Source organism: Homo sapiens, chromosome 9 (genome assembly GCF_000001405.40).
Source record: "Homo sapiens chromosome 9, GRCh38.p14 Primary Assembly".
NCBI classification, from domain to species: domain Eukaryota; kingdom Metazoa; phylum Chordata; class Mammalia; order Primates; family Hominidae; genus Homo; species Homo sapiens.
This window is the reverse complement of record NC_000009.12, coordinates 32,598,588-32,609,328: the sequence shown is the minus strand read 5'-3', so window position 1 is coordinate 32,609,328 and position 10,741 is coordinate 32,598,588. Positions and strand designations below refer to the sequence as shown.

General features: G+C 39.6%; 1 long non-coding RNA gene across 1 annotated transcript; it reads left to right on the top strand.

The window, feature by feature from the left end:
• Positions 1–327: 327 nt before the first annotated feature.
• Positions 328–5,422, top strand: LOC105376015 (uncharacterized). Its single transcript, XR_929553.1, has 2 exons — positions 328–437; positions 4,862–5,422. It is a non-coding gene; the product is annotated as an uncharacterized LOC105376015 (long non-coding RNA).
• Positions 5,423–10,741: the final 5,319 nt, after the last annotated feature.

The following is a 10,741-nucleotide window of genomic DNA, read 5'->3' as shown; positions in this document are numbered from 1 at the left end:
GAATACTAAAAAAAAAAAAAAAAAAAAAAAATCTTCATATTTTTTGAGGAAATTCTACTTGAACATGGTGGAAAGTCCCTAAATATGTTATTTAATTTAATTTGTAATTTTTTTTCTCTCTTGTTTTTTATTTATTAGAGATGTCGTCTCGCTCTGTCACCCAGGCTGGAGTGCAGTGGTGCTATCATAGCTCACTGAAGCCTTGAACTCCTGGGCTTAAGCAGTCCTCCTACCTTGGCCTTCTGAGTAGCTGAGTCTACAGGTGTACACCACTGTGCCCAGCTCTCCCTCACTCACGGCTAATTTTTAAATTTTTTTTAAAGATGGGGTCTTGCGATGTTGGCCAGACTGTTCTTGAACTCCTGGCTTCGAGCAATCCTCTTGCATCAGGTTCCGAAAGTGTTGGAATTACAGAGCCACTGCACCCAGCCTAATTTGTAAGTAGTTTACCCAAGGTTTTTGCATCTGTATTGACACATAAGATTGGTTTATAGTTGTTGCTGTTGTTTTAAGTTTTGGTACCAAGGTATTTTTAGGTTTTGGTTTTGTTTTGTTTGTTTGGTTTCTTGTCTATAATTAGGTAGGTTTTCCATTTTAACTTTGAAGGAGTTTATAGAGGGAGAATCATATGTGTTTTTAATATTTAAAAAGGCTCGCCCACAAAGCTACCTGGGTTAGATTTCTTTGGAGTGAATTCTATGATTTTTAAAAAATTTATTATTGGAGGGGCAATTCCTCAAGGATCTAGAACCAGAAATACCATTTGACCCAGCAATCCCATTATTGAGTATATACCCAAAGGATTATAAGTCATGCTGCTATAAAAACACATGCACATATATGTTTATTGCAGCACTATTCACAATAGCAAAGACATGGAACCAACCCAAATGTCCATCAATGATAGACTGGATAGAGAAAATGTGGTACATATACACCATGGAATACTATGCAGCCATAAAAAGGAATGAGATCATGTCCTTTGCAGGGACATAGATGAAGCTGGAAACCATCATCCTCAGCAAACTAACACAGGCACAGAAAACCAAACACTGCTTGTTCTCACTCATAAGTAGGAGCTGAACACTGAGAACACATGGACACAGAGAGGAGAACAACACACACCAGGGCTGCTTGCAGGGTGGGGAGTGAGGGAAGGGAACTTAGAGAATGGATCAATAGGTGCAGCCAACCACCATGGCACACATATACCTATGTACAAACCTGTATGTTCTGCACATGTATCCTGTTTTTCTTTTTTTAGAAGGAATAAAGAAAAAATTTTTTAAAATTTATTATTGGTATTCAGATTAGATCACTTCATCCTGAGTCAATTATGGTCATTTAATGTTTTTTCACATTTAAGTCTAAAGTTGTATATTGTTGCTAGGTTTATGACCTCAGAAAGGACTTTGTAATATTAAGGAAGGAAAACAAAAGGATAAAAAAACCTGGGAAGGTAGTTCTTCCTGGAAAGATTTATTGCAGGCACAAGAAGCAAATTTTAGACCTCATGTTTATTTAATTTTTTTTCATGAAATTCATGAAGATATAGGCTCTTTGAAATTCAAAAAAAAAGAAAGAAGAAACTTATACTGAGATGAGACCTGTACTCGAACAAGCAGCTGAGGTAGAACGAGAAACCAGGTTTGGGCTCTTAGGAACATCCTTACTCCTGGCAATAGGAGGTTCAAGAAATCTTTGTGGATGCATATGTGAAGAATTAATGAATGATTAGGAATATCAATTCTCACAGCGTGGTATAGTCTCATGAAAACTGTAGAAGATTGAGCTGGACCACAGGGAACTGGGGAATATCTCTGAGTGCTGTTTTTGTTATCTACTTGAGTCCTCTCCTCCACACCCCTTAAGGTTAGTTCTCCCAGCAAGGGTCCAGCGTGATTACTCTGCTCTGGGTTTTCTCTTACCATTGCTTGTTGCCACTCTCCTGGTTCACCTGTTCCCATCCCTGAGCACTGCGCAGGCCACAGCTTTTTTAACCACTTAATATCCCCAGCAACTAATCATGGTGTGTCCTTGAATTCTAGATTTCCTAAGGCTGCAAAGAAAATTAAAAACAGGCCGGGTATGGTGGCTTATGCCTGTAATCCCAGAGCTTTGGGAGGCCAAGGCAGGAGAATCACTTCAGGCCAGGAGTTCGAGAGCAGCCTGAACAATGTAGCAAGACCTCATCTCTAAAAATAAAAGTGTATAATTTAATAATTCTTAGTAAGTTTAAAGAGTTTTGCAATCATTACTGCAATGGAATTTTAGAACATTTCCTTCACCCCCAAAATAACCTCATTCCCATTTGCAGTCACTTCCTATTTCCACCTTCAGCACCACCCCCAACCCCCGCCACACAAAACCACTGATCTGCTTTCTGTTTCTATTGATGTGTCTGTGATGGATATTTCATATATTTATATTCATATGAATGGAACCATGGTCTTTTGTTTATGTCTTCTTTCACTTAATGTATTTGACATGCATTCATGTTGAAGCATGTGTCAATACTTTGTTCCTTTTTATGACTGGAATAGTGTTCTGTTGTATGGATATACCACATTTTTCTTATCCATTCACCAGTTAAAACATTTGGGTTATTTCCATTTTTTGGATATTATGGCTAATGTTCTCAGGAATATTCATATACAAATCTTCATGTGAATGTAGATTTTCATTTATCTTGGGTAGATAATAATGGCTGAATTGTTGGGTCATATGGTGACTCTATTTAGTATTTTAAGAAACTGAAAAATGTTTTACAAAGTGGCTGCACCATTTTCCCGCCAGCAGAATACAAGAGCTACAGTTTCTTTACATCCTTGTCAATATTTGTTATTGCCTGTCTTTTTATACATTGGCTTGGTAAATATTTGTAATAATGTGCAGAACCCCATGCCACCTTTGTAGACCCTCAGATGGAAGCTGCTGTCTGGAATCACATTCTGAGAAATGGATTAATGATCCTTCATTGATGCTTAGGACCTATGTACACCTTCTAGCTGTTGTATTAAACTCTAAAAACTCTAGTATTTTTGTAAAAATATCATACTACTTAAAGCTTAGGGTGTCCATGTGTCAACAACTATTAATTATACTCCAGTATCCAGTCTCCCCTTCTTACACAGGGGGCAGTCAAAGAGTCCCATTTTCCAGCCTCCCTTGCAGCTAGATGTAGCTATGTGATTAAGTTCAGAAGAATGGGATGTGAGCAAAAATGTCATGTTCTCTTAAATGGAGCCAGGCTTTTACCTCTTTCCACATCCTCACTGATGGGAAGGTGGAAGTGAGGGTAGCCATCCTTAGACCAAAAACAGATACTAGGTGCTGAGATTGGCAGGGCATTAAGACACAGGAGGCTTGGGCAACTGGTGATTGCAGGGCCTCCATTCCAGCCCTGGATTGCTTACCTGGATTTTAACATGAGAGATAAGTATCTTGTTTAATCCAGTGTTATTTTTTATTTATTTTGTATTTATTTGAGATAGAGTTTTGCTCTGTTGCCCAGGCTGGAGTGCAGTGGCTGCAATCTCAGCTCACCGCAACCTCCGCCTCCCGGGTTTGAGCAATTCTCCTGCCCACCATCTCGCCTAGCTAGTTTTTTGTATTTTTAGTAGAGACGGGGTTTTGCTATCTTGGCCAGGCTGGTCTGGAACTCCTGACCTCAAGTGATCCACCCACCTAGGCCTCTCAAAGGGCTGGGATTACAGGCATGAGCCACTGAGGCTAGCCCCAGTGTTATTTTGAGGCTCTCTGTTATAACAGCCAAAAAGTGAAATTACTAACATCTAGAATGGCTCTGTAGGAACATGGCTAGAATATGAGAGTCTCCGCTGATGAATATGATCATACAAGGAAAAGCAGGGCAATGGAGACAAAAAAGCCTGGGAAGAAAATCAGGACACTAGAATTTTAGTAGCATTTTTACCTCTAGTCAGCTTTGTGATCTCAGGCAAGCCTTATATTTCTCTGTCTTCATCCATGAAACAAGATGGTTTTGTACAATTGAAAATAAATGCTTAAAGCTTGAAAATAAAAAGCATCTGGTTTCAGAAGTACTTCATTATATTCCTAATCACTGGTAAAGCAACTCAGTACTACAGGCTGGGAAGGAGAGGGAAGGGAGACATAGGGATAGATTTGTAGAAGAATACAAAATTACAGCTAGATAGAAGGAATGAGTTCTAGTGTTATATAGCGCTACAGGATGATGATAGTTAACAATAATATACTCTATAGTTTCAAATAGCTAGCAGGAGGATATAGAATGTTCCCAACACAAAGAAATGATAAATGTTTGACATGATGGCTATGCTAATTACCTTGACCTTATCACTATACATCATATGTGTTGAAACATCACTATGCACCCCATAAATATGTACAAATCATTATGTGTCATATAAAATATTTTTTTAAATTAGGAAAATATATAAATGTAAACCTTTGGTATCAACTTTCTTAAATAAAATAGATGTTAATCATCTTCAGCAGCTGCATCAGTGAGAATGTTAACATGGGGCTAAGAATTTTCCTATACACAGTATTAGCTTTTTAAGTCCTCCCAATGGGTGCCATTATTGTCTTCATTTTACGAATAAGGAACCGGAGGTTTAATGAAGTTAAGGACCTTGCCCTGCCATGCAGATAGTTAGTGGTGGAGCCAGGGTTTCAGTTCCTGAACCCGGAACACAGGTGTTTGGCCACTGCTACTCTGCCTCCATAACTATACCCAACACATACCAGAAGATCAATAGTGATGGCCAGTGGCCATATGACCACTTTAGCTATTGTGACTAGAAGGGATTATCATAGTTTAAAATGAATAAACAACTCTTCCTAATTTGCTCACTAGGTTAAGGTGACATGGGAAGCGATCATTGTGAGTCATCCAGGGAACACAGGGAGAGTTAAGCTGATGGTGACGCACACCTGCCAACTGCTGAGAAGAAGATAATCAGCCCTCAGGAATTTTCGACCCAGCCGCACTGCACAGCCTGGTTGCTGGACTCCTAGGACCAAGCCTCCTGGGCCTGGCAGGCAGCTGTAATTCAGAGTGGGTCGGGGCTCCAGGATGTGTTGTTTCCTGTGCATTGCACTTCGCAGAGGCACAGAGCAGAAGCTAAGCCTGATGGCCTCTGAACACTGGTTGGGTTTTTTGTTTTTTTTTTTTCCTGGCAACAAAATTAAAGCCGCACCTAGGGATTTATCCACCCTTTTGCTGATCTCGATGTGAACTGTGCAGCTGAATCCCTGCACACAGTACTGACTCTCTCAGGGTGTTGCTTAAAATGTGGCTGAGCACAAATGCAAAACATCGTCTTGTTGAAGTCAGCACACAGAATTAATCTCTAAAAGTAATGAAAGAATTAGTTTCACTTTGTAAGATAAATAAATGCAAAGTATGGTGAAGTCAGAGATGTTCAGCTCAGTTGCTTTTAGACGGCGACATCTTTTGAAAATGATATTATATATTTGGGACACATTTTAATGCCACTCTAATATTTTGTGTCATTATAAGGATGCTTTGGGTTTTTTTGTTGTTGTTTTTGAAGTCTATTATCATATGAGTTTTTTTTTTTTTTTTTTTTTTTTTTTTGAGACAGAGTCTCGCTGTCGCCCAGGCTGGAGTGCGTGGCGCGATCTCGGCTCACTGCAGGCTCCGCCCCCCGGGGTTCACGCCATTCTCCTGCCTCAGGCTCCCGAGTAGCTGGGACTACAGGCGCCCGCCACCTTGCCTGGCTAATTTTTTGTATTTTTAGTAGAGATGGCGTTTCACTGTGTTACCCAGGATGGTCTCAATCTCCTGGCCTCGTGATCCGCCCGCCTCGGCCTTCCAAAGTGCTGGGATTACAGGCGTGAGCCACCGCGCCCGGCCTAGCATATGAGATTTTTAACCTGCAACGATTCACCTTTAGTGAATTTTTAGTATTGGAAATGATACAAACTTCAAAGTGTCTTGTCCTTTTTTTTTTAAGCTCTTGGAAACATAAGTATGTGATTTAAGTAAATATAAAATTAGAAGCCATCTCAACACTAGAACTTATTCCTCCTATCTAGCTGTAATTCAGCCTCTAAAGTCAATGTGAAATAAGGCTCACTGTTTTTCACCCCATCCTTAATGTTATTTTTACCCTGACACTGAATTTCAGGCTTTGGTTTTTCTGAGTGTGGCCCACCTGCTTGAAAGTTGTTCTGAAAGTTTGAGGTAAAGGAAGTCAGATCAGAGAGCATTTTCCCCCAGTACCTAACAAAATGAATAAAATGACTGCATTTTAAAGGGCCAAAAATTTCTCATCAGTGATCAAGATTGAAAAAAGGGCAAAACTTCATGTAATACAGTTTTACTTTCAACTGTACGGCTTTCAACCTTGTAATGACACTTGCTTTTCAGAAAGAGAAATGAGGAAAGGTGAGTCAACAAAATTCTGATACTTTTTCTGAATTCGCCTTGATGTGAGGAAGAAGTGGATTGAGGCACGAGGAGGTGGGGAAACTGACGCGTAGGAGCCACTCTTCGTGCCACTGCAGACCCTTGCTAAGGCAGAGGAGTAGGCAGGGCCGGGCATTCTCCAGGGTGCTTGCTGAATGGGGGGATCAACCAAAGCCCTTGGGTTAGAAAATGTCCCATGCTGGGAAGACTGGCCCTGGTAAGGGACATTTGCTGGGGCTTGCAAGAGAGAATCCAGCCAGGCTAGCAACAACTGTAGGCAGCTCCTGATGACCTTTCCTCCTTCTCACAAATTTTCTGGCTAGAGAAAAGTAAGTAGAAAATAACAGCCAGCCCTCAAGTTTTTCTCCATAGGGGTGATAAATAGTTTCCAGGAAGAGGGTCAAGAAGAACTACAGTAGATCAGAGAAACTGAAGTTTATATCATAGCACTGCATAAGTTTAGCTTGAGCAAAATTAAAATAGATGTCATGTCAACCTTGCAAATGAGCCACAGAGGAGAGACGGAGAGAGAGACGGTTAACATGAACATAACAATCTCTGCTTCACAGGGTTGTTGGAAGGAGTAAAAGAGAAAAAGTATGTAAATACTGGACCACAGAACCTGATACATTCGAAGTACACAAAAATCATAGTCTCTCCTCCACTCCCATCCCTTGTTCATAGCCCTACATATTGTTTTTTGTTTTGTTTTGTTCAATTCAGGCTCACTTTGCATTCTTACAACACTGTAGATCTTTAGGTTGAGTAATTTATGGCTTAAAGCTAAATAATTATTTGCCAGCAAACTGTTCTTGAAAATATATAGCAGCATAGGAAAGGTCATGGGCTTTAGTGTTAAAACTAGGCTTTGATCCTGGGCCACCTCCTTGAGTTTGTGTTTTTAGGCAGGTTATACATTTAATCTCTCTGAGCTGACTTTTCTTCTTTATGAATGATATCAATAATCCTAAATTTGCTGTACCTGTATATGTATAAAGCACCTGGCACAAACTAGGTGCTCCTTGAGGTGGCACGGCTAATATCATTTTACTTTTTCAGATTGTTATACAAAACATCAACAAATTATTGTTTGTTACCCCAACTGCTTCTTTAGGAGGGTGAATTTTGTTACTGTAGAGTATCTTGTTTTGCAGAGCATCATGATGTCCTGGGGTCTGTAAGTTTATGAATTGAGGGAAGTGGCTAAATTGCTTGCGTAAGAAAGGGAAGGAAAAAAAATGAAAATGAAGGCAGGAGTTGGGGGTAGGATGATCAAGAATCTAGGGGAGAGAATTAAGCAGTGAAATCTGGGAGGATTCAGGGATAAAAATCCCTAGAGAGGATAAACCAGGAAGGGATTTGTGGAGGTACAAATATAGAATGTCAGTTTTTACCTTGTTTTCTTCAGGTTGTATGATATAGCTACCCTTCCTGTCCCCTCCTTCTCCTCCAGGACCCACAGAGTCTTCAGGGAAATTAACATTGCTCACTGAAGCTTTTCTGTGGCTGGATTTGGTGGAGAGCAGCAGGACTAGGAGAGGTGCTGAGTTCTGCATCCAGGTTGATGCAGTGAGGCTGAGCAGTGTGAGCAGATGCGGGAATCAGAGGACACAGGGGAGGTGACATCTGGCTTTTGGGTAGATTTCCACAGGTCTGATCATGCTCTGTATTTGCCATCTGCCAAACTTTATTGAGGAAGTCTTAAGGTCTGGGTAGATATGAAATCTCTCAGCTTGTAGAATTTCAACTACTCTTTCCATAGTGGCAGAAAAGTAGAAGTGAAGACAGTACCAGGACCATGTATCTTCTAGAGACTTAATATACCCCTGCTCTGCCTGCTTCCACCCCACCCCCATCAATGTCAGACATAAGCCATGTCTGTTCTGCACATTGGTTCAAGGTCTCCAACCAAAAGTGTTGGAGTTCGCTCTTTGAGTTCCCTTCCTACCAGTAGCCTGGCTCAGTCCTCGCAAGAAAGATGCTGTTCTGTTTCCTTAGACATCCAACTGTATAACTCTTAATTCCCTGGGGGAGCTTCCTCTTCTGTTTGCTTCTGAGTCTTAATTACTTCCCATCTCCCTTAGCAGCAGTGTTCTTATACCCTAGCCACCACCTCTCCCAGAATATTCTGTGTTGCCTTAGACCTCTTCTGCTGGTCACCATCAAAATACTCCTTCCTTCCTTCTCCACCTAGACAATCACTCATAGTTTCAAATTTCATCACAAAATTTGCTACTCTGATGTGCTCAGGAAGCTCAATTAAGGAATCAGTGTTCAGTTGCAGGCCTTGCCCTTTCATCTCTGTATACTTCTTTCCTAGGTAGTGCCATTCACAACTTGGCTTCCGTTATTGACAGGCATATGACCACAAATTTATATCACCCACACAGATTTTTCTTCCAAATTCTAGTCTCATATATCCAACTACCTATTTGATGTTCCCTATTTTAAATGTTCAAGAGCTCCCTTAATCTTCTTAAAAATTATGATGTAAGTACTTTTATTATTCTTATTTTGAAAACTAGAAAGCTGATGCTCAGAAAATTAAAATATGTTTTGTGTGTAAGTTCACACAACTGATTAATATTTGATGGAATCTGAACACAGGACTCGCTGCCCTCAAACCTTATTCTTTTATCTGGCATGTCATTACTGCCTTTGAAATATTTATATCAGGGAAACTGAGATCACTTGCTTGACATAATAATAATAATAAAAGTATTATCATCGAGAAATGAAAACAATTGATTTGAATAGGAATAAGACAACATGCTGATAATTTCAAAACTTTCAGCATGATAACAAAATTTTAGGACTGAGTTTCCTTCTTCACTACATGATATCAATAATTCTAAATTTGCTGTATTTGTATACATAAAGTGCCTGGCACAAACTTGGGATCTTTAAAAAATTTTTTTTTAATTTTTAATTTTTGTGGGTACATAGTAGATGTACATATTTATGGGATACATGAGATGTTTTGATACAGGCATACACTGTGAAATAACCACATTACGGAGAATGGAGTATCCATCCCCTCAGGTATTTATCCTTTGTGTTACAAACAATCCAATTACACTGTATTAGTTGTTTTAACGTGTACAAGTAAGTTGCTATTGACTATAGTCGCCCTGTTGGGCTATCAAATACTGGGTCTTATGCATTCTTTCCAACTTTTTTGTACCCATTAATCTCCTCCTTAGCACTCACCCCCCCACTACCCTTCCCCGCCTCTGGTAACCATCCTTCTACTCTCTCTGTCCTTGAGTTCAATTGTTTTGATTTTTAGGTCCCACAAATAAGTGAGATATTCATGAGATATTCATCTTTCTGTTCCTAGCTTATTTCACTTAACATAATGACCTCCAGTTCCATCCATGTTGTTGCAAATGACAGGCTCTCATTCTTTTTTATGGCTCAAGGACTTCATTGTGGATATGTACCACATTTTCCTTATCCATTCATCTGTTGATGGACATTTAGATTGCTTCCAAATCTTAGCTATTGTAAAAGCTGCAACAAACATACGAGTGCAGATATCTCTTCAATATGCTGATTTCCTTTCTTGTGGGTATATACCCAGCAGTGAGTTTGCTGGAGCGTATGGTAGTTCTATTTTTGGTTTTTGAGGAACTTCCACACTGTTCTCCATAGTAGTTGTACTAATTTACATTCCCATCAATAGCTTATAAGGGTTCCCTTTTTTCCACATTTTCACTAGCATTTGTTATTGCGTGTCTTTTGGATACAAGCCATTTTAACTGGGGTGAGATGATATCTCATTGTTGTTTTGATTTGCATTTCTCTGATGATCAATGATGTTGAACACTTTTTCATATGCCTGTTTGCCATTGTATGTCTTTTGAGAAATGTCTATTCAAATCTTTTACCTGATTCTTTTTATCAGATTATTTAGATTTTTTCCTATAGAGTTGTTGTCAGATGGATGGTTTGCAAATATTCTCTCACATTCTGTGGATTGTCTCTTCACTTTGTGGATTGTTTCCTTTTCTGTGCAGAAGCTTTTCAACTTTATGTGATCCCATTTGTCCATTTTTGCTTTGGTTGCCTGTGCTTGTGGGGTATTGCTCAAGAAATTTTTGCCCAGACCAAAAGTTCTGGAGATTTTCCCCAATGTTTCCGTGTAATAGTTTCATAGTATGAGGTCTTAGATTTAAGGCTTTAATCCATTTTGATTTTTTTTTTAGATGGTGAGAGATAGGGGTCTAGTTTCCTTCTTCTGCTATGGATATCCAGTTTTCCCAGCACCCCTTATTGAAGAGATTGTCTTTTTTTCCAGCA